General features: G+C 39.1%; 1 long non-coding RNA gene across 1 annotated transcript in view; it reads left to right on the forward strand.

Annotated features, from left to right (window-relative positions):
- LINC01060 (long intergenic non-protein coding RNA 1060) overlaps positions 1–25,089 on the forward strand; it is a 146,331-nt gene extending 121,242 nt beyond the window's left edge. Inside the window, exon 5 of the long non-coding RNA NR_033869.1 lies at positions 24,949–25,089. This is a non-coding gene — a long non-coding RNA (long intergenic non-protein coding RNA 1060). The remainder of the gene's footprint in view (positions 1–24,948) is intronic.
- Positions 25,090–25,482: the final 393 nt, after the last annotated feature.

Consider the following 25,482-nt stretch of genomic DNA (forward strand, 5'->3'; position numbering starts at 1 on the left):
ATAATGCAAAATGATGAAGATAATAAAACAAAATAAAGAAAATAAAAATCCACAGTGTTCTTGTTTTTGAGCCATTTCTTTGAATGGATACTTAGCCTTTGCTATTACGTTATTATGACTTTAACACCATCATTGAAATTTGCCTGGCTGGGCGGGGTAGCTCACTCCTGTAATTCCAGCACTTTTTGAGGCCAAAGCATGTGGATCACCTGAGGTCAGGAGTTCAAGACCAGCCTGGCAAACATGGTGAAAACCCATCTCTACAAAAAAATACAAAAAATTAGCTGGCCGTCGTGGTGGGTACCTGCAATCCCAGCGACTCAGGAGGCTGAGGCAGGAGAATCATTTGAACTCAGCAGGCGGAGGTTGCAGTGAGCCGAGATCCATGCCACTGCACTCCAGCCTCGGCGACAGAGAGACACTCCATCTCAAAAATAAAAAATAAAAAAAGAAGAAGAAAGAAAAGAAATTTGCCTATCACTGAGAACAGTTAATTTCATACAGGGTCATAACACGCTAGATGATTGCACTGTTATTATTATAGGTAGATAACAGAAGGCCAGGACATTAGTCTGTTTTGCATTGCTATAAAGGAATATCTAAGGCTGGTAGTTTATTTTTTGTCTTGGCTCATGGTTCTGCAGACTATCCAGGAAGCATAGTGCCAGTGTCTGCTTCTGTGAAAGCCTCAGGAAGCTTACAATCATGACAGAGGGCAGAGGGGGAGCAGGTGCATCACATGGTGAGACAGGGAGCAAGAGAGGGGGGAGGTGCCAGGCTCTTCTAAACAACCAGGTCTCGGGAAGTAAGAACTCATAACTGCAGGGAGGGCACGAAGCCATTCGTGAGGGGTCTGCCCCCATGACCCAAACCCCTCCCACCAGGCCCCACCTCCAACGTCAGGGATCACATTTCAACATGAGATTTGCAGGGGACAAACATCCAAACTACATCAGCAAGTTCTGGACTAAAGTAAGACACATTTGGTTTGACGCCCTTCCATTTTATTTTTAATATACCCTCTTCCAACCTAACAGACATCAACCCAGGTCTCGTTTTTTCCTGATCAGATTGGGGTTTTATTTTAAACCAAGCCCATGTTAACAGCCAGTTTTTTTTCCAAGGAAAATATCCCCATTATTAGCTATGGCCAGGATTTTCTGAATTCTCTTTCCTATTTGCACTTTGCATTTTTACTGGGGCTTCTCTGCCCTTCATAAGAGGCGCGCATCCTTAGTGGGGCACTGTTAAAGCAGCCGCGTCTCCCTCAGCCCTGGCTACAGGCAGCAGGTGTTTCTTCCATCTTATGCCCATACTCCGCCTCCTTAGGCTTTCTACACAAGGGACCTTAAGTGGAAGCCCACACTCTTCTTGCAATCAAAGCTTTCTCTTTTTCCTGAGGTTCACTGATGTTGTTGATTCTATAATCTTTTGTGGGGTTTTAATTTGTGATAATGTAAAGTGTTAGGAGTCCCCCAAAGCATTTATATTATGAGAGGTTGTTCCCAAATATGGAAACGTGTTCAACTCACAGTATGCATTTCTAATGGTAGAATTTACCCCCCTTTAGTAGGTGGGTGCTGTCAAAGGGGAGTACATGTGTGTCTATATGGCTCTGTGTCTGTCCTTGTCTACCTCACTTCTCTACTTATTATCTATCCATTTACCACCCATTCTAAATAGATCTGATGGTAATGCCAGAGAAGAGACATTATCATATTTTACTGAATAAAATAATGAGAAAAAGCGGGGTTGAAGTCACATCACAGACCGAGAAAAACTTCTAGAGTATTACTGTGCAGAAAATGCAGTGGACTAGAGGAAATTTAGCCAGTACTTCTTTCTTTATGATCCTATTATTTTCACTACACAGAAGCCAGTTTTCTCCCTGCTTTTTCACTTGGTAGGATTTGGCCAGTGTCTGTTAGAAATTTGGTTAAAGCTCAAACAAGTCGGATTTTCAAAAGCAACCTGAAGGTCAGCTGTTTAGTTTTATGCATTTCCTTCTTCTCTGACCAAATACTGCAAGTTCTGCCAATAGGCAAAGGCAAAGATAATGTATTTTGTATGGCCTAGTTTTGTATCCATATGAAATACTATAGACTTGTTTGAGGTTACAGTTTGAATATTAACAAAAATCAATAAAGCTAAGATGTACTAGATAACATTCAAAGTCCCTTTGAAATAAGAAGAAATGCTCAGGAAAATCTAAAAGTAAAATATTTATTTTTCTCAATTGATATTTCCATAAGTCATTTTTATTTTTTGCTCTTAATAAAGAAACCATAATAATGTGAGAATAAAGTGAAATCAGTGGTACCATTATTGAATACTTATTTAATACCCCCTCACTACAACACCACCCCAAGTCCCATTGCTCAAAGACAACCACTTTTGTTTCTCTCTCTGGTATTTGGGAACACATTTATTAATAATATAGGTATAATGTAATTTTCTATTGAGTAATTTACATGTTTAACCATTACAGGCATTTTGCTTTCCTGTTCCAATGGATAAAAATTCAACTCTCCTGATAGAAATTTCAAAGACAGACCAGGCTTGGTGGCTTATCCCTGTGATCCCAGCACTTTGGGAGGTTGAGGCAGGCGGATCACAAGGTCAGGAGTTTGAGACCAGCCTGGCCAACATGGTGAAACCCTATCTCTACTAAAATACAAAAAATTAGCCGGGTGTGGTTGCAGGCACCTGTAGTCCCAGCTACTCAGGAGGCTGAGACAAGAATCACTTGAACCTGGGAGGCGGAGCTTGCAGTGAGCCGAGATTGTGCCACTGCACTCCAGCCTGGGTGACAGAGTGAGACTCCATCTCAAAAAAAAAAAAAAGAGAAATTTCAAAGAGAAAAAGACAAATCACCTAGCCATGAGTTAGATTTGTTACATCATAACATTTCAGTGTTAGATTGGATTTTCCATTGTGTCTAGTTCACCCAGCCATCTAATGCTTGAAGTTTTTCTAATCACTCTTTTCTTTCTCAGAGGACGTTGACTTCTGCACGAATCCCTCCAGGTTCTGTGAAATATTTCTCAAGGTTGTCAGTTGCCCATTTCATAACCCTACAGCTAGGATTTCTCTCCCTGTCTCACTATCTCTCTCCTCCACCTCAAGCCTCAGATCAAAAATCTGTATTCTTGGGACTTCTCCCTTTTGAGCTAGAATTCCACATGGAATCACTACTGTTCTACCTGAGAGATCTATAAATATTTTAAAGACAATATTAGTTTCTGTCCTTAGTTTTTTCTCTTCAATGTTAATATTATAAATTCTGAACATGAATATATGTCAAGTTCTCTTTCCATCTTTAATGCTATACGTAAATGTTTTAAGTTTCATGGCCAGGCGCAGTGGCTCACGCCTGTAATCCCAGCACTTTGGGAGGCCAAGGCAGGTGGATCACAAGGTCAGGAGTTTGAGATCAGCCTGGCCAAGATGGTGAAACCATGTCTCTACTAAAAACACAAAAATTAGCCGGGCGTGGTGGCACACGCCTGTAGTCCCAGCTACTCGGGAGGCTGAGGCAGGAGAATCGCTGGAACCCAGGAGGCAGAGGTTGCAGTGAGCCAGGATCGCACCACTGCACTCCAGCCTGTGTGACAGAGTGAAACTCTGTCTCAAAAAAAAAAAAAAAAAAAAAAAAAAAAAGGACAGGCACAGTAGCTCACGCCTGTAATCCTAGCACTTTGGGAGGCCAAGGTGGGTGGATCACTTGAGGTCAGGTGTTCCAGACCAGCCTGGCCAACATCATGAAACCCCGTCTCCACTAAAAATACAAAAATTAGCTGGGCATGATGGCACATGCCTGTAATCCCAGCTACTCAGGAGGCTGAGGCAGGAGGATCACTTGAATCCGGGAGGCAGAGGTTGCAGTGAGCAGAGATTGTGCCACTGCACTCCAGCCTGGGCGACAGAGCCAGACTCTGTCTCAAAAAAAAAAAAAAAAAAAGTTTCTTGTTTCTCGATGCCGCCTTTAAAGTGTAGTGTTTGGAGTGGCCGTGCCAGGGAGTGTCTCCACCTCTCTTTCCTCACCCACAGATGGTTCTGGGGAAGCTGCATCACAGCCGTCACTTGTATTGAGCTCACGTGCAACCAAAACCCTTTATAGAGTTGGGTTTTTAGCTGTGTCTAGACGCTTTTATGCTGAATTCTTGAACACACATAGACTCAGCTGGACTCTTTTACGCTGAATTCATAGACACAGCTAGACTCTTTTATGCTGAATTCTAAATTCTTGAATTTAAGAATCTTAAAATTCTTGAATTTTAGACCCAAAACAGTGCCAAATATTTTATCTTTGTCACATTTTCTTTCTAGTCAGAGCTGACAGGTTGTTAAATTTAAGAATTTTTTGAATACTGGTTCTTTTCTATTTTCTATTTCTGGGTATGTCCATATCTGTATCAACTAAAAATGTCCCAAGCCTGCCATTACTACCAGTCCCTTAGCCATTAATAAAGACATGCAACCAGAAATGATTGAGGACAGACCTGCTGGGCATCTCCTGTCCAGGTTGACACTGATTATTTGATCAATAATTTTGAAAGATGGATTGTGTATAAGTTACAATATATTTGATATTTTGTAAAAAAAAAAAAAAAAAGACTCAGTAAGCCCAAGAATCTAAGAAAATTAATACTAAATAACTTTCCCAAATGTTGACATAAGAAAAAATTATACCTGAGAAAAGCATTATTAATGTATTTTTAAAATAATTTATTTAAAAAAATTATTGTGGTTTTCTTACATAACTAGCAATTATCTATAGGCTTTGAGAAAAATGAGTCAAAGCGGAACACATACTCACATTACTATAGATGTTTTAATTCAGCTGTAAACCTTTGGAGGATAATGACCTTGTTTTGCCCTATGTGCGTGGGGCAGAGGGAGGCAGGAACTCAGGCCTGGAAGGAACCTCATGATAGTGTTGCTTTTTCCTTTTTCCAACAAAAAGTTAGAGATGCATGATCAATAAAATAACAAGCATATAATTGCATTTTGAGGTAAGTGAGCAGATGCTGTGTTGCTAGGGAATTGTTGTTGAATGAGTATAAAATATGAATTTCCAGAAAGTTGTCATGTAGGTAATATCTGATTTTATTGGCAAGGAAATTCTCAGTCCCTGTGAAGTCATCATTACCAAGTTTTGAGAATTTAATAGGGAGTCAATGTATGCATTGGTGTGTTTCTTTCTTCCTTCTATTTCAGGTACTAGTCTCATCTTTTCCCAGAAACGAAGGTTGGTCAGACCATCTGGGATTAGAAACAGACAGCAAAAGTGTCCCTTTAACCTGAGGACACTACAGGAAAGGTCTTTCTTTCCTTTGGGCATTTTCTTCATGATTGCTTTACCCCTATACTCATGCTACTGAGCTCTCTCCTTTCCATTTTGTGAATAAACTGGGACTGAAGATAAGATTTGGAATAAATGTGTACTTATTATCAAAATGAATATTTTATCTCTTGCTAATTCGTAGTAATTTGCATTGGTTAGTTCTTGAAGGGAAATGATCTAAAAATGTAAAGATTTATGAATACGGAAAAACATGAACTATTATTTCTTTTAATGTTTCCCTTTAGTCAACTTTAGGAATACAAAACTGAGTTGTTTTACCTCCCTTAAGTTTTGGGACATGTGATTCCAGCTCTGTTCCTGTTGATGACAGAAAGTCACATTCAAATCTCTTGATATCATATCTAAAAATCCTGATTTGTGGTCAGGCACGGTGGCTCACGCCTGTAATCCCAGCAATTTGGGAGGCCGAGGTGGGGGATCACCTGAGGTCGGGAGTTCGAGACCAGCCTGAGCAATATGGAGAAACCCCATCTCTACTAAAAATACAAAATTAGCCGGGTGTGGTGGCGCATGCCTGTAGTCCTAGCTACTCAGGAGACTGGGGCAGGAGAATCGCTTGAACCCAGGAGGTGGAGGTAACGGTGAGCCGAGATCGCCCCACTCTACTCCATCCTGGGCAACAGAGCAAAACTCTGTCTCGAAAAAAAAAAAAAATCCTGATTTATTACAGAAAGGTCCAGAGCAAAAGCAGCATTTTGAACTTGGTGTATGGTTAACTGGACAGGGATGTGGATCTGAAGGAGAGCAGAGTATTTGTACTAGCAAAGGGACAGAAAGGACAAGTTCGGGTATCAAAAAAATAGGTGATTAAAACTATAGGAAAAAACCATAAGGGTATGAATTGCCTTGTAAAGAAACCATTTTGAGAAGGAGAGCAGGAAGCAAAATTAGTTAAGAAGGAATGTTTTTAAGACAAAGTAAGTATTCAACAGTAAAAGGAAATAAAAGGTTTATTGAATGTTCCCAACACAAAGAAATGATGAATGTCTGAGTTGCTGGATATGCTAATGACCCTGATCTAATCATCATACATTGTATGTATTGAAACATCACTATGTACCCCATAAATACTCATAATTATTATTTGTCAATTTAAGAATATTTTAAAATCACACAAAACACAATAGCAGCATTATTATGTGACAATATACTCCCAAAATACAGAACTAGTAAGAAATATTATCAATAGACATGGCTTCAAAGAAATAGAAATTGTTTTCTAAAATATAGACTTTGGGCAGTAAAGCATTGCAGATTGAGAGAAAACATTCTTTTTCCCAAAGAGAAGACAATTTCCAAATAAGATAGTGTCCATAATGCTTTGTAACTAGTGGGTGCCTCTTACGCTATCAGCAAACTTAGTTCCAGTTCACCCTCCTCACCTTCCACCCAGAGACTTTAGGGCATGTTGCTGGGGGTCAACCTTGGAAGATCTCTGCATTTGAAGCAATCTACTGTCTCCCTGGGATGGGCCGCTTTCTCCTTTGAGTGGCCGTAACCCAGCCCAGAGCTGCTTTCGCAGAGGCAATCAAGCTATGGAAAGCCCTGCTCATTTTGTGTTTTCAGGGTTGCCTTTGTTTATCTCTAATTCTTAAGGGAAAATGCTTCTGTAGGCTCAATGAGACCGAGTGGAAACCATAGCCAAGTCCTACAGCTTTTGTAGTTTCTGTGCTGGGGAGACTACAGATCTATTTGGAAAAATAGAAACTGCATTAGATCAAGCTATAACTTTAATATTTATGAAAAAGCTCTAATTGTTGACTCTCTGCAGCTGAATTCTACATTAAACCCTGTAGACAGGGTTTATAAAATATACATGTACAAGTTCATATAATAAGGATTATTTGATAATGGTAAAAAATTAAATGAGTATTCAAATATAAACATAAAAATATGGCATTTTCTCTTCTACTCTAATCCTACAGTGCTATAGTAATTTTTTTTCCTTCTGAAACCTTTATGGAAACCCTAATTAACGTAAGTCAACTGTTCAACATCTAATATTGTTGAAAACCTTAAGTAGGAATAAAATTAAGCATTTATATTTAAGTACAGTTGATACTTTAAAAAATTCTTACATAAAATCTTTAATTATGATTTGCTTTGTGTATACTGGCTTCTGCGATCATAAAAGAAATTACTTAACTTTGCCATCTCTAAAAGAAAAGTCCAGAGTTGGCATTGTTTCCAGCTTATTTTTCAAGACAACAAAAAAGTAATTTTGGAAAATAAGTTATTTTAGAAAATAAAATATAACATTTTTTAGAACCTGGAGTTCTCCAAATAGTTTGTTCTTTCGAGAATATGATTGAGCTTTCTTTGCCACTCAGGTTCAAAGCACTGGGAAGAAGTGAAAACAATTCAATTATTGGATGCACATTTTTGAAAGGGCCTTACATTGCTAAATTCAGGAGTTGCCATAATTCTATGTCATGTTGCAAGCAAGCTAAACATCAAGAGAGGTGTTGTAACCAGCTAATAATTATAAATAATGTGTGAATACTGTCTTTTTTTTCTGATTCCTGTGAGAAATCAGAAGGAACAATTGCAAGGAAATATGAAATCATGTTCTTCAAATCCTTCGACTCTGAAACACAGATAAGAGGACTGCTGACATGTAGGGACCAATAGAATGACAGCTCGTTGCATACAAAGATAAAAAAGACAGTGAGTGACTTTGGAGTTGTGTTGCCTTCTGCAGCCGAGAGAATTTGGACCCAACTGTCAAATGACTATTTTTTTTAGAGGAGTGTAAATGGTGAGTGTGTACGGTGAGCTAGTGGTATGGTTCAGAAGGAATCTGCAGATGAGCTAGTGGTATGGTTCAGAAGGAATCTGAGCGCTAATAAACACCCACTTTCCCAGTAAGAAATGTAGTGTGCTGTGTATTAGAAAGCTTCATAGACTCCAGAAAAATTCAAAGAACTAAACATGAATCCTCCTGTCAGTAAGTCCAAGGAAACCTAGACTATTTCATGCAGAAATAGCACATTTATACCGAGTATCACTTATCACTTACAGATTATGTTCTCATTCATTGTCTTGTTTTTAATCTTCAAAACAATCTTGAAAAGAAAATCCTTGAGAGTTGAAAGAAATTTAAGTGACTTGGTAAATTCATATGGAAGATGGTAAAACATTATTGTCAATGTGCTGCGTCTTGCTTAATGAATTTCCTCAAAGTTAGAGACAGTGTCTATAATACTTGTCCTTTTAAGCTAAGATCATAAAATCAACCAGTAAGATGATAAAATATGTAGCAATGTATCTAAATTTATCAAGCTCTGTAAAACCCTAGGATCAAGCAGTAGCTTGGAGAGGTCAGAAAGCTCCTGAGCTTGCACCTTCTTAAGAAGAGGAGAGGGGAGGGGAGGGGAGGAAGGGAAAGAAGAGAGGAGAGGAGAGGGGAGGGGAAGGGAGTGGAGGGGACGGGAGGAAGAGAGAAAAGAGAGGAGAGGAAAGGAGAGGCTTTAGCATGAAGCCTCTGGATGCTCAGATTCTGCTGGGAATTTTGGCAGCGTTATGGAAGGTCCATCACAATCTTGAAGAGAGGCTTTCACTATATACCAAGCATGGCTTAGTCTGAACTGGTTCATCTGGACCCAACTCTAGCCAACTCTAGTGTGTCTCATGGTCTGGTGTGGGCCGAGGGCCTCCAGGCCTCCAGAGCCAGCCCTGTCCACAATTTGGTAATATTCCATTGTTTCCTTACAGAGCTCAAGATTGCAAACCCCAAGGTGAGAAATGGAAAAAAGTAATGGGACCTTTAAGCTCTGACGTTCTATGTTCCTACAGCATAAGCTGGTGGCTTCTGCGGGTCTCTGCAGCCACCTCAGGGCCTTTCTGCTCTTCTCAAGAGCAAGAGAAGCAGAACTTCTTCTCTTGCACTGGAAATACCTGTGGGGTGTGTGTGTGTAAGATGGACATTGAGTGAAGGGACATGAGCTTCTTGAATATCATGTTTTACGCAAACAAATGTTTCTGTTTTTTTTTTTTTTTTTTTTTTTTTTTGAGACGGAGTCTTGCTCTGTCACCCAGGCTGGAGTGCAGTGGCGCGATCTTGGCTCACTGTAACCTCCGCCTCCTGGGTTCAAGCGATTCTCCTGCCTCAGCCTCCTGAGTAGCTGGGACTACAGGCGTGCACCACCAAACCCAGCTAAGTTTTGTATTTTTAGTAGAGACGGGGTTTCACCATGTTGGCCAGGATGGTCTCGAACTCCTGACCTCAGGTGATCCGTCCACCTTGGCCTCCCAAAGTGCTGGGATTACAGGCTTGAGCCACCGCTCCCAGCCCACAAACAAATGTTTAGCATTAAGTATTGTGTATTAATTAAAAGACTAAGTCTTTTTCATAATAGCTTAGAGCTCAATAGAAAATACAAGCAAGAAATGATGAGTACATTCGTGGTTGCTTATGGCTAGAAGAGGGAGGAGGGATAGAGTGTGACTCCCAATGGGTATGAGATTTTTTTTTTTCTTTCCTGTCTTTTCTTTTTGAAACAGGATCTTGCTCTGTCATGCAGGTTGAAGTGTGTGGTGCGACCATGACTCAGTGCAGCCTCCACCTATTGGGATCAAGTGATCTTCCCATCAGGCCTTTCAAGTAGCTGGGACTGCAGTGCACACCACTATGCCCAGCTAATTATTTACTGATTTTTTTTTTTTGTAGAGATAGTCTCACTATGTTGCCCAGGCTGGTCTTGAACTCCTGGGATCAAGCGATCTTCCCACCTTGGCCTCCCAAAGTGCTGGGATTACAGGTGTGAGTCACTGCAACCAGTCTGGGTATGATATTACTTTTGGCAAATATGAAAATGTTCTAAAATTAGGTAATGGATGCACAACTCTGTGTACTAAAAACTCTTGTTTCCCACTTTAAGCTAGTTGTTGTGCTTTGTGATATGTAAAGTTCATCTCAATAAAGCTGTTTTAAACAGAAAGATGATAAGGACTTCTTTTTTTTTTCTGAAGCAAGCCAGGGTAAGGTATTTACAAATTATGCTGTTCTCTTTATCTCTGCAATGACTTTTAAATCTTGTCCATTCTTTTCATCCATTATGTCTGTGTCATAGTTTGAACCCTCATCCAGTTTTGGTCCAATACAGATGGTCCCCGAGTTATGATGTTTCAAAGTATGATTTTTTGACCTTATGATGATGAGAAGGTGATACATTTTAAGTAGAAACGGTACTTCCAGTACCCACACAACCTTTCTGTTTTTCACCTTCAGTGTAATGTTAAATAAATTACAGGAGATATTCAGCACTTCATCATAACATAGGCTTTGTGTTACCTGATTTTGTCCAGCGGTAGGCTAATGTGAGTGTTCTGAGCATGTTTAAGGCAGGCTAGGCTAAGGTATGATGTGGTAGGTTAGTGTATGAAATGAATTTTGAACTTAGTGATATTTTCAAGTTATGTGATGGATTTATCAGGATGTAACCCCGTTGTAAGTCGAAGAGTGTCTGTAGTTACACAGAAATAATAATATGTGGTTTTGGTTGGTTTCTAGTTGTAAGTTGTAAGGCCTTTTATGCAGACTGCTGCATTTGACTTTAACATGGTTTTCTTACCCCCGTTCTTTCTCAGGCTTTCCTAAAGCACAGTTCTGATCATGTTATATTCTTACTGAACACTTCACATGGTTCAACATTGTCTACAGGATGAAATGCAAACTTTTTAACTTGATCTATGATTCTGTCTTTTTTGTCTTATTTTTCACATCATGATCTTACTAAGCCACAATTCATTTTTGGCATACAAAACATCCTGGCGTTGACTTAAAGTATACTCCACTTTTCCACTTCTCTGCTTTTTGCCCTTCTCCTAAATTCAAGCTGTCAACATTTCACCCATTCAGCTCAAATGCTTCCTCCTACATAGTCTTCAATCGCACGCAGCAGAATTACAGCCTTGAAAATTACAAACTTCTTTGTATTTTAATTACTTGTCTATGTGCTTGCCTTTCTACTCTGCCTATCTATTCAAATTATTGTTCAGTTGAATTTTCAAATTAATATTGTATTGTAAGCCTCTTTATTTGTAATTATAGAGAAAATAGATTCTTATAGAAATGATGAAGAGCAAAATTCCATCAGAGCCAATACGGACCTTCGGTCTACAGGGAAGAATAAGTAACAGATTTCCCTCGCCCAGCACAAGATCGATGGCTGAGACCCCAACAACAGAAGACAGACTAACAACAGAAAAACATAGAAACTTATTTAATATAAATTTTACATGACACACGAGCCTTCAGAAATGATGCAAATAAACAGGGAGTCTGTATTTTTTGGACGGTTGTGCAAAATTGGACTGGAGGACAAAGGGAATGGTCTAATGGAAATAGACAGGGGAGGCTGTTCACATTCCTCTTGGTGTCCTCATGTCACGTGCTTTCCTCCCAGATGTAGGACAAGCCAGGATGCTCTCCCAGGAGGCTCTTCAGGAGAGAGGGGAGGGAGAAGGTCAGAGAGTCACCTTCCCAGGTTTCATGGCTGCTGCAGGGAGAAAGGGCGAGGGGAAGGTGAGCAAGGCCTTCCTGCTTCTGTTGTTTTCTCAAACGCCCAGGCACCATGTTTTGGGGTGGCATGTCCTGAACCTGGTCTGGCCTCACCTCACTATAGGCTCCTGTTTCTTTTCTTTTTTTTTTTTCTGTTTCCGCCTCCCTCCCTCTAAACATTCTAATTTACCCCAAGCTCTCTTCCCCAGAACTCTCGTGTCTGACAGAGCTCGAATTCTGTCAACCAGGCTGGTCAGCTCCAGACTCTGACTAATGAAATGCACTTGTTATTAACTTATCTCCTTCAGGAGCAACTCTCAATCCATGACTGAATTGTACAGATGGAACACAGGAGGGTGAGATGTCTCCTTGCTGGAAACTGCACAGTGTGAAGGCTCTCGGGAATTGCTTTATGGAATCAGACTCCTTCGTTCCTTCGTGTACACCTCCTAGATGCATTTTTACAGAATCAGACTCCTTCATGTACACTTCCTAGGTGCATTTTCCTGGAGCTCATCTGGAGTCCAGGCCTCAGCTTCTGTTGTACAATGAGGGATGATAATGGCAGATACTTAGATACTTTTGAGAAGGCCACCTGAGACGTGATTGCCAAAAGCAAGTGAGGATGACTGAATGAGAGAACGGTGAATAGCAGTTATTTTAAAATTTATTTTTAACATCCCTACATTTATTGCAACTGATTCTTGTAGGACCACAAAATGTGAAACGGATTTCAAACCCTAGCAGTGCACAGGAATCATCCTGTAAAGCCTTTAAAAGTACAGATCTGGCCGGGCGCGGTGGCTCACGCCTGTAATCCCAGCACTTTGGGAGGCTGAGGTGGGCGGATCATGAGGTCAGGAGATCAAGACCATCCTGGCTAACACGGTGAAACCCCGTCTCTACTAAAAATACAAAAAATTAGCTGGGCGTGGTGACGGGCGCCTGTAGTTCCAGCTACTCGGGAGGCTGAGGCAGGAGAATTGCTTGAACCCGGGAGGTGGAGGTTGCAGTGAGTGGAGATCGCACCACTGCACTCCAGCCTGGCAGCAGAGCAAGACTCCATCTCAAAGGAAAAAATAAAAGAAAAAAAAAGTACAGATCTTTGAGTGATCACTTTTAGAAGGTCCAGGGCTGTGACCCGTAAGCTAATGTTTTCAAAGCTTCTCAGGTAATTTAGAAGTAACTGGTCCTTAGGTTGTCACGTGGGAATTACTGATTCTTCCGTACATATTTAGTAACATCTAGAGTATTCTGATCCATGAGAATATTGTCTAGATTTCAGAGCTTCTTTCTGAAATTTACCGAGAATGAAACTCTCCTGAAGATAGGCTTTAGATCTCATCCTATGATAGTCTCACAGAAAAGAAGGTAGCTTGATGGAGAGTTTATGGATATTCTACAACAGACCTTAATCCAGGTGGTATTTTATTTTATTTTTTTTAATTTTTTGAGATGACGTCTCACACTGTTGCCAGGCTGGAGTGCAGTGGCTCGAACTCGGCTCACGGCAACCTCCACCTCCCGGGTTCAAGCCATTCTCCTGCTTCAGCCTCCTGAGTAGCTGGGACTACAGGTGCCTGCCACCATGCCTGGCTAATTTTTGTATTTTTAGTAGAGGCAGGGTTTCACCATGTTAGCCAGGATGGTCTCGATCTCCTGACCTCATGATTCACCCACCTCAGCCTCCAAAGTGCTGAGATTACAGGTGTGAGCCACCGTGCCCAGCCAATCCAAGTGGTATGTCAAATCTAGCCTAAAGAGCTTTAAACATTTTTCATGCATTTATTTAATAAATATATATATATACACACACACACACACACACATTTGCATACATGTATATGTCTACAAACATATATACATATACACATATACATATATAAATGTGTAAATATATACATATACACACACATATAAATGTGTGTATATATATTTATTAAATAAATGCATTTTTCATCCACTTATTAAAGATATACACACATATACACATATTTGTATATATGTATGTATATATATATAAAAATCTGCAATTTTAAAAAACAGCACAACTGGAATAAATGTAGACATATAGTTTATAGTACTTTGTAATTGTAATTAAATACTTTCTTCAGAAAATTGCATTAAAAATTTTTTTATGGCTGAGTGTGGTGGTTCATGTCTATAATTCCGGCATGCTGGGAGGCTGAGGTTAGAGGATTTCTTGAGCCCAGGTGTATGAGACCAGCCTAGACAACATAGTGAAACCCATCTCTACAAAAATTTATAAATTAGCCTGGCATGGTGGTGCACACCTGTAGGCCCAGCTACTTGGAAGGCTGAGGTGGGAGGATCACTTGAGCCCAGGAGATCGAGGTTGCAGTGAGCTGTGGTCACACTACTGCACTCCAGCCTGGGCAACAGAGTGAGAACTTGTCTCAAGAAATAAACAAAAATTATCATAATATGAAAGTATTGATAATTTAATATTCTTTTGTTTTTTAAATGGTAGGATAATAATGTGATTTCTAACTTGCCTTACCTTCGTGTCCACTGCTTTAAAGACAGAACTAACATGAGGAGAGAAATTAGAAAATAATAAAGAAAACGAAATTCATAAATTAAAACATGAAGACATTATATCTGAAGGGCTCTTAGATTGTATAAGTCAATTTTTCCCTAGAATATGAAATTCTTACCTATGAGAATGAATGTTAATGTACTTTTCAAACTAACTTTCACCTTACCTTTAGATGACCTTATTTCATCAGAAAAGAAGTAAAAACCAATTCTTACTCAGAATAGTTTGAACTTACACTTAATTATCATCTATGCTGTTATTTACTATAGATTTCATTTAACACAGATTTTTAAATGATTATTATAATTGGTTTCATGGGTGAGTTTATTTTATAATGAGTAAGAGAAAGAAAATGTACCCCTATTTTATGTCAAATATTTTTATAGTATATAATATCTTCAAATTGTAAATGAATATAGAGATTTAAAAATGTTAATAGCTTCTAAGGCTGGGTGCGGTGGCTCATGCCTGTAATCCCAGCACTTTGGGAGGCCAAGGTGGGTGGATCACAAGGTCAGGAGATCGAGACCATCCTGGCCAACATGGTGAAACCCCGTCTCTACTAAAAATATAAAAAATTAGCTGGGTTTGGTGGCAGGTACCTGTAGTCCCATCTACTTGGGAGGCTGAGGCAGGAGAATGGCGTGAACCCAGGAGGTGGAAGTTGCAGTGAGCTGAGATCATGCCACTGCAATCCAGCCTGGGTGACAGAGGGAGACTCCATGTCAAAAACAAAAACAAACAAACAAACAAACAAAAGTTAATAGCTTCTGAATCATTATAATTTCTCAAGTGAGTAGGAATATATTTTTCTTCAAAGCTCTTGCAAGATTTTCTGCCAATACATGATTTAGAATTTCATAATCAATATTTATTGTTTAGAAACCCTAAAAGACTGCTTTCATATTTAATTTTTTGTTTCTGTGATTATTAAATTATTTGCCTTTTTAACTAAAAGAAAAAAGACTTACTCCTTTTTCTTCTAGGTACTACCAAAATGCTTTTCTGGGAAGAACACAATGTACACATCCAAACTGTAATCAGCTATTTTCTCTTGTGCTTGCGGCTTTTCAGAGCTGGATTATTTGACGAAGTACATGCTGAGGGCTCCATCAGAGCAATAGAGATAGAGATGATAGAGATGGAGAGAGATAGCTACCTCTGTCTAGGTGCAGATATAAATGATGTAGATGCAGATATAAGGTGTTCCATGAAAGGGCCATAAATGCAAAGTGGTCCCCTCAAATGCAAGGAACCGAAGAAAGAGGCGGACAAATCCAGTTTGCCCATAAAGGATTTATTCTATTTATTTGTTAGAGAAGTTAAAGACAGAAGTGTGGTCTTGGGCAACCACAAGACAGCTAGATCTCTGCACTAAAATCCCCAAGACCCAGAACTTACATCATGCGGAAAAGTATGTGTGTTCTGGAAGAATGTGTAGGTGGCTGAGAGAATGCTGTGGGCACCACAGTCTATGAGGGACACAGCAACACCAAGGCTGGTTTTGGAGGAAAGGCGAAACTTACAGTAAATAGGTCCTTCTACAAAAAGGGTTTACATCAACTAAATATCTTGGAGGCATTCCGGGGCTCGAGATTCATCAGGAGGCACGTGGTGGATTAGCATCTAAAATGAAGTCACTCTCGTCCCTATACAGGGAATAATTTGATGCTTGATGTCACTAAGGCACCCATCATGAGTAAGATCAGTAATACGGAACTGACGGCATTACATTTGTTCTACAGAGTTATTAATCTAGATTCAAAATTTGGATAAGAGACAATATCATCTTTTCTGTTCTTAGAGCCTCTCTGAGCCTAATTGGGCCCGAGTTGAGTGTTTCCATTTCAGAAATTGTGGTGTCAGCATGCTCAACTATAAAATAAACTGGTTCTTTATGCTTTTAGTAAGTCATACCTCTTGCAATTTACTGGAAAAGTAGAAATGCAAAGAGCTCCTTATGCAACTTAATCAGAAGAACACAAATCAGGGTCTTTTAATGAAGGTTTAAGCTGAGCTTTGACATGCGAATTAGGAGACAATGCAGTAATATCTAGTATATCTTAAGTTTTGATATTTGAAAGATGATTGTGAAATAATTTTTCTAGTTTCATTGGCATATCTACTATACTCTAGGCAAGGGGCTGGAATCAACAAGCAAAAATCAACAAGTTTTGCTCTTGACCATCTCACAGACTTGTGTTTCTTTATTTTTTTCTCTATCAAGCCAAGCTCTATATGAAGGCAATTTTATGATGTTGCAGATTTTATGATGTTGTGCACTTACTTTAAAGAATAGCCTTTACAACTCTTGAGTACACTCAATTATATTTCTTATGCCCACTGAAGTTTTTAAGTACCTAATAAAAAATAGTGTATCAGAAGAGGTGGCACCGTCAGGAATATTTCACCAGTATTAGGCCAATGAACATTAGCTGTCATGTTTTCAGCATTATGTGGAGAGCTCTGAGTCAGGTGCACACCTCCAAAAAACCTGGTGTGAATATTTCAGTCTCAGCAATAAAATCACACTTCATGTGTTACGCATAAAGGAAGATTTATTACCTTCATATCCTCTTATTAATTTCTTTCTTTCTTACATCAGGTATAATTCCATACCTCAGCCCTTTGGCCTTAAAGAGTAATTTAATCTATTAGCCCAGAAAACCTTTTAAGTCAATCCTTGACATGGAAGGAAGGCAGATATTTCTTTAAGGGTCTGGTGTACTAGAAGGTCAGTTTCTGTCACAGATCCCAGGAGCCGTGCAGCTAAAAACAAAACCCTCTGGTGCTCCGTCTTTTCGCCAGTACACGCCTTTAAATAAGAAACAAGACAAAAGAGACAGATCAACGCTCATCCCTGGGCTTGAGCCTCAGGAAAATGGTTTTAAGAGAAGACGCCTGTTAGCGCCAGACAAAAGGCAATTAGTGCTCATTCGGGGGACATCACGTGGTGAGGGCATGTGGACTCCCTTCATCCACAAGCCAAGTACGAAGGGCTATTGCTCTGTTACTAACAGGGATTCATCTTTAATTATTCACATTTGTATTTTTTTCCCCAGTAGGAAAATAATAATGTTTTTCATCCTTTCCTGCATATATTTATTATTTTTATGTAAATTAAGAGTTACACTACAGAGTTTCTCATGAAGAAAAGGAAAATACCTAAAAGATAGTTACATTACAAAGAAGAAAACACAAATGTAGCTTCCTGAATTTTTCATGAAAACTCACCCAGAAGGCACTCCATATTTCAGAAACAAATAGCATGGGGGCCTTAGGACACATAAACAATATAACTGAATAAAAGAAATTTCAGAAGTCTTGTAGTCCTACAAATATTTCTCTTTTTGGAAAAGATTTATTGAAGCAAATAAAATGATAAAATTATGCATGAATTGAAAAATATAGTGGGATGGAGGAATAGAACATTTGTGATGATTCTTGATAAAGCCACACAACATAAGGTATAGAAAGTTTGGTCACCAGCCAGGCCTGGTGGCTCACGCTTGTAATTCCAGCACTTTGGGAGGCTGAGGTGGGCAGATCACGAGTTCAGGAGTTTGAGACCAGCCTGGCCAACACAGTGAAACCGCATCTCTACTAAAAATACAGATAGTAGCTGAGTGTGGTGATGGGCACCTGTAATCCCAGCTACTTCGAAGGATGAGGCAGGAGAATCAGTTAAACTCGGGAGGTGGAGGTTGCAGTGAACTGAGATTGCGCCATTGCACTCCAGCCTGGGCAACAGAGACCGTGTCTCCAAAAAAAAAAAAAAAAAAAAAAAAGTTTGGTCACCATCCAAGTAAAGAAAAAAGAGAACTAAATCTAAGAAAGTGGCAGTTAAGTGGAAAAGGAGAAAGGTTAAAAGGAAGTCATCGAAAAAGAGAAACAGAATAAAACTAGATGTTTTAAAGGAGAAAAAATAGACAGTGGCATCAAGAATTGCTTTTAGGTTTCAAGTTGCAATTCCTTTAAGAAGTACTGTCTGTGAATAAATATTTTCAAAGCAAGGAGAAAAAATTAATTTAGAGATAAGGGCCATAGAAATGATAAGGTTTGTTTTGGTTATGCTGCTCATATCAAAATATTTAAGTAACAGTAATGAGCAAGTAGGTAGAGATATGAGTTTGGAGGTTAAGAAATAGGTCCTGATAGCCAGGCGTGGTGGTGGGTGCCTGTAGTCCCAGCTACTCGGGAGGCTGAGGCAGGAGAATTGCTTGAACCCGGGAGGTGGAAGTTGTAGTGAGCAGACATTGTGCCACTGCACTCCAGCCTGGACCACCGAGCAAGACTCTGTCTCCACAAAAAAAGATAAAAAAAAAAAAAAAGGTGGGGGGAAAGAAAGAGAGAGAGGTCCTGAGATTATGAAAAAGAAATGAGATCTATTCACAAACTGGCAGCACCAACAATAGAGAATGTAAGATGTTGGTTGCTATTGGGAACTAAGTGAGGATGATAGTTGTTAGAGCACATTTTAAAATATATAACCAGCATGGCAGATGTATACATATGTAACTAACCTGCACATTGTGCACGTGTACCCTAAAACTTAAAGTATAATAATAAAAAAAAAGAAAAAAAAGAAAAATTTACCTGCCCTTTAAAAAAAAAATTACAACACTGTCTGAAATAACAGAAAAAAAATATATATATATAAACTGATGCAAGAACTTCATAAATGATAATGTCCATTCTTCTTACAGAAATAGTGGAATGGTCAAAATTAAAACTATCATGCAGAATCAAGGGTGAGTTAGGTTCAAGAAACAAGGGATGTTTACCCTGGTCAGATATTGAAGTCGATCGAAGTGAAGGCTGAGCAAAGGGTTCCAGACTGGTTATTATCAAGTATTTGTAGTGAAAGTCACTATGCAAGAAGTGAAAGAATGATAGGATTTTGGGAAAGAATCATAACTACTGTTTCACAAGGTTTAGTAGCAAGAAGACAAGACAAATTGAACCTTGGGAGACTGCCAGCGTGAGGAAAGGCTTTGTCAGGAGACAGAGAAATGAAGGCACGTTTGTGGGCAGAGCAAATGTAAGAAGAAAGGCAGAAATATGGACAATGATTAATTAATGAAATAAGTTTTAAAGAACAGAAAAAAAGGGTTAATATCGAAGTCCAGATAGTGAGTTAAGCACTAAAATAGGAAGGCAATATGTCTGTTTTTATCTTTTCTTTGAGACAGTAAAAAAGAATAAGAGGCTGGATATACGGGATGCCTTTGTATAGAGAAGATTTATACAGATTATCTGGGGTGGTGTTGATACACATGGTCAAATGAAAAAATGGAGATTTCAAACCTGAGAAGGAGAAAATAGATTAGGATATAAGGAGAAGGAGGAAAGTCTTTTAGACGATGAAGTCATATCGAATCAGGAGACACATGGTAGTAGAGCTACAGAAATAGGACTGGACAGTAGGGATCTGGAGTGGATTAGTATGAGTTTTCTTATCCACTTTTCTCCAGCTGTGCTAAAATAGGCTGCTAGCAGTGAAGAAACACCATAATGATCACAGAGTTGGGGTTAATTAGAGTACAGGGATCGAAAGTCCAACAGGTAAGAGATTTGAGAGCATCAGTGAGAAGACAATTAAATAAACTTAATATGGCTCTCACAATCTAAGTTAAGGAGAAAAGTGAAGCCAGACAGAGGTTGATAAATCAGAACTATAAGGCCAGTTCAAGGGAGTAGACCTCACAGTGAGAACAAAGCTCAAGTTAGTTGCTAATAAAGGCACAGAAAAGGTGGAAAGTAAGATCTATTAAAAAAGAAAATCGTAAAATTCAAAATCAGTAATACTGATCAAGCGCCCATTGTGAGCAAAAGGGTAAGCTTTTATTGATTCAGAATGACTAAGAATTGAGATATCTGATGAGTTAAGAATGTTAACTTACAATTAGTGTTTCATATATAATATGTATATAAATATATATAATATTATACATAATATTGATGTAATCACTCCTATAGCTAATTAAGTACATGATATTTTGCCAGGTCAACTGTTATGTTTATTAGCAACAGTCACGGGAATATCTGAAATGTTGGAAATCCCCTATCCCAATTCAATATTAATGAAAGTAACAGAAAGTTACATCTTTCTGTTATTATATATAGTTACATCTATTCTTATATCTATCTTTCTGTATCAAATATTTATCTCCCTATATAGGTATATTTTTAATCTGTATCTTTATACATAAAGTATTCTGGGTAAACTGCACAGACCTTAGCATATTAAATTCTCTTCTTCGGCCGGGCGCGGTGGCTTACACCTGTAATCCTAGCACTTTGTGGGAGGCCAAGGCAGGTGGATCACTTGAGGTCAGGAGTTCGAGACCAGCCTGGCCAACATGGTGAAACTCTGTGCTACTAAAAATACAAAAATTAGTCAGGTGTGATGGTGTGTGCCTGTAATCCCAGCTACTCAGGAGGCTGAGGCACAAGAACCCGGGAGGCGGAGGTTGCAATAAGCTGAGATCAGGCCACTGCACTCCAGCCTGGGTGACAGAGAGAGACTCCATCTCAAAATAAATCAAATAAAATAAAATCTCCTCTCACACACTACCATCTTCCCTAACAGGTGTGCTAGGCTCTAGAAGTTTGAAAGACAGAGGGGTGAATTACTTCTGTATTCACTCAGTTGTATAAACCATATGTCCTCATCCATTTTCTACTACTATACAGAATACTACAAACTGGATAATTTATAAAGAAAAGAAATTTATTTGGCTTATGTTTCTGGGGGCTGAGAAGTCCAAGATGATGGCACTAGTATCTGCTTAGCATTTGATTAAGGTGTTCTTACTACCTCACACATGGCAGAAGAGCAAGAGAGAGAGAGAGAGTGAGAGTAAGAGAACAGGAGGAGGCAGAACTTCACCTTATTTTCAGGAACCAACTCCCATGATAGCCCAGTTCTGAGATAACAGCGTCAACACAGGCATACCTCAGAGATATTTGTGGTCTGGTTCCACACTACCTCAATAAAGTGAATATTGCAATAAAGTGAATTACACAAAATTTTTGGTTTCCCAGTACATATAAAAGTTATGTATACACTATACTGTAGTCTATTAAGTATTCAGTATCATTACATTAAAAAATTAGATACTTTAAAAAAATCCTGTTAGCTTTATCTCCAGAATATCTTCCAATCTACCCACTTTTCTTTATGTCTATCAGTACCGTCATGGTCTAAGCCAACAGCGTGCTTTCCTCAGGCTATCAAAGTAGGCTTTTAACTGGCTCCTCACAGGAGACCAAAATGAAGAAAAAGAACAATAACAACAACAAAAATAGATACTTTAATTTAAAAATATTTTATTGGCAAAAAATGTTAACAGTCATTTGAACCTTCAGCAAGTCATTTTCATTTTGCTGGTGGAGGATCTTGCCTTGATATTAACAGCTGCTGACTGATCAGCATGATGGTTGCTGAAGGTTAACGTGGTTGTAGCAGTTCTTAAAATAAGACAACAATGAAGCTACCACATCAACTGATTCTTCTTTCACAAAAGACTGCACCGTATTCTATGATGCTATTTGATAGCATTTTACTCACAGAAGAACGTCTTTCAAAATTGGAGTCAATCCTCTGAAACCCTGTCACTGCTTTATCAACTAAGTTTATGTAATTTTCTAATTTCCTTGTTGTCATTTCAACCATGTTTATAGCATCTTCACCAGGAGCAGATTTCATCTCAAGAAACCACTCTCTTTGCTCATCCGTAAGAGTAGTTCTTTATCTATTAAAGTGTTATTATGAGATTGCAGAAATTCAATCACATCTTCAGATTCCAGTTCTAATTCTAGTTCTCTTGCTATTCTCACTACATCTGCAGTGATTTTTCTCCACCGAAGTCTTAAACTCTTCAAAACCATTCATGACAGTTGGAATGAACTTCTTCCAAACTCTTGTTAATGTTGATATTTTGACTTCCTCCCATGAATCATGAATGTTCTTAATTGTATCTAGAATGGTAAATCCTTCTGAGATTTTCAATTTACTTTGCCCAGATCCATCAGAGGAATGATCCATCACTATCTATGGGAGATATCGCCCTACAAAATGCATTTCTTAATAGGACTTGAAATTTAAAACTACTCCTTGATCCATGCACTGCAGAATGGATCAAGAATGGCTGCAGAATGGATGTTGTATTAGCAGGCATGAAAACCACATTTATCTCCTTGTACATCTCCATCAGAGCTCTTGGGTAACTAGGTACATTGTTGATGAGCAGCAATATTTTGAAGCACTTTTTTTTTTAAGCAGTAGGTCTAAATGGTGGGCTTAAAATATTCAGTAAACTATGCTATAAATAGATGTGCCATCTTGCAGGGTTTGTTACTGTATTCCTAGAGCACAGGTAGGGTAGATTTAATGTACTTTTTAAGGGACCTAAGGTTTTCAGAATGCTAAACGAGCACTGGCTTCAACTTACAGTCATTAGTTGTATTGGCTCTTAACAAGCGAGTCAACTTGTCCTTTGAAGCTTTGAAACCAGGCATTGACTGCTCTTGCTGTGAAAGTTCTAGATGGCATTTTCTTCCAATAGAAGGCTGCTTTGTCTCCAGTGAAAATCTGTTGTTTAGTGTAGCCACCTTCATTAATTATCTTAGTTAGACCTTCTGGATAACTTGTTGCAGTTTCTCCATCGACACTGCTACTGCACTTTGCACTTTTATGTTATGGAGACGGTGTCTTTCCTTAAACTGCATGAACCATCCTCTGCTAGCTTTCAACCTTTCTTCTTCAGCTTCTTCACCTCTCTCAGCCTTCGCAGAATTGAAAAGAGTAGTGCCTTGTGCTGAATTAGGATTTGGTTTAAGGGAATATTGTAGCTGGTTTGGTTTTCTTTCACGACCACTCAAACTTTCTCCATATCAGCAATAAGGCTGTTTTGCTTTCTTATCATTTGTGTACTCATTGGAAAAGATTTCCATCAGAAGCTTTTTGTTTACAGTCACAGTTTAGCTAACTGCTTGACATAAGAGGCCTAGCTTTCAGCCTATCTCAGCCCTTATCATGCCTTCCTCACTAAGCTTAATCATTTCTAGACTAAAAACACTTAGTCACTTGAAAAGTTAGAGGCCATTGTAAGGTTATTAATTGGTCTAATTTCAATATTGTTGTGTCTTAGGTAGTAGGAAGGCCTGAGGAGAAGGACAGAGATGGGGAAATAGTTAAATAGTTGTTTGATGAAGCCGTCAGTACACATACAACACTTAATAAGTTCAGTGTCTTATATGAGCACAATTCATGGTGCCCCAGAACAATTGCAATAGTAACATCAAAGATCACTCATCACAGATCACCACAACAGATATAAAATAAAAAGTCTGAAATATTGCAAGAATTAGCAACATGTGACCCAGAGACAGATTAAGCACATGCTGTTGGAAAAGCGGTACTGATATATTTACTTAATGCAGGGGTGCCACCACTTTCAATTTCTAAAAAATGAATTATCTCAAAAGCTCAATAAAGCAAAATGCAATAAAACGAGGTATGCACATCCTAATCACATCCTAAAGGCCTCACCTCTTAATACTGTCGTAATGGCAATTATGTTTCCAACTGATAAACTTTGGAGGAGGCACATTCACATCGTAGCACCATATAAATGAATGCAAAGCAAAATGGGCCCAAGTAGGTTGTTGAAAAACTAATGGGTAGAAGGGTCTTGGATGCTCACATTAATTGGAGGAAAATGAAAAAGAGACAGTAGGATAATCAATGGCAATAAGATTTCTTGCCATGGAAAGGTCTAAACTAGATATGAATGAAAATCCAGCTAAATGCAAAGATCAGGATCGGTCTTTTCCCTTTTTTCCCAAATATACACTATGTTATTTTCTACTTTATGTCTTTGGTACACAAAGTGAAATATGGCATGGGTTGCCAAATTTTGCAAAGTAAATAATACATAGAATTCAGACCCTACTGGATAAATACATTCTATTTTTAATGATTCAGAAGGGCCCTCATGAGGATGATTATTTTTATTTGTTTATTTACTTATTTATTTTTTGTGACAGAGTTTCGCTCTTTTGCCCAGGCTGGAGTGCAGTGGCACAATCTCGGCTCACTGCAACCTCTACCTTCTGGTTTCAAGCTGTTCTCCTGCCTCAGCCTCCCGAGTAGCTGGGATTACAGGCGCCCGCCACCATGCCCGGCTAATTTTTGTATTTTTAGTAGAGACGGGGTTTCACCATGTTGGCCAGGCTAGTTTCAAACTCCTGACCTCGTGATCTACCCACCTCAGCCTCCCAAAGTGCTGAGATTGCAGATGCGAGCCACCATGCCTGGCCATGATGATGATGATAGATTCCTTCTCAGCAATCCAGAGGAATTAAATCTAGTCTATCTTAATCCATGTTTATCAACCTGTATTGTGTAATTCAATTAGGCACTTAACATTAGAAACTTATAAAAACAAAAGTAGCATAATACTCAGCTGTGTTAAGAAAAATGTGATATCAACTACTCCTCCTTTATTACAGTGACTCAGAACACCCGTGTCCTTCCCAACATTGGATGCAATGCTAAAGACATGATGTTGCTCCTGCTGGACCACACCTTGAAGGAATTGCCTACCCCACCTCACCTCCAAAATTAAAGTCTTTCGTTTTGACAAAAGTTAATGATAAGGTTTGATGTGCTAATTTCAGCACCTCCACTTCATGTCTACACTGTGGACATATACTTTTTTGTTGTTTTGGGGTTTTTGTCATGTTTCACTCACTTTCTCTATTATTCTTTATAGCAGGACTTGCTTTAGAGTCATTACTTTCTGTTAAAGTTGTTCCTTCAAAAGTTGACAATTACTGGCTGGGCACGGTGGCTCACGCCTGTAATCCCAGCACTTTGGGAGGCTGAGGCGGGTGGATCACCTGAGATTGGGAGTTCGAGACCAGCCTGACCAACACGGAGAAACCCCGTCTCCATTAAAAATACAAAATTAGCCAGGCGTGGTGGTGCATGCCTGTAATCCCAGCTACTCGGGAGGCTGAGGCAGGAGAATCGCTTGAACCCGG

This window comes from Homo sapiens, chromosome 4 (assembly GCF_000001405.40).
Source record: "Homo sapiens chromosome 4, GRCh38.p14 Primary Assembly".
Lineage (NCBI taxonomy): Eukaryota > Metazoa > Chordata > Mammalia > Primates > Hominidae > Homo > Homo sapiens.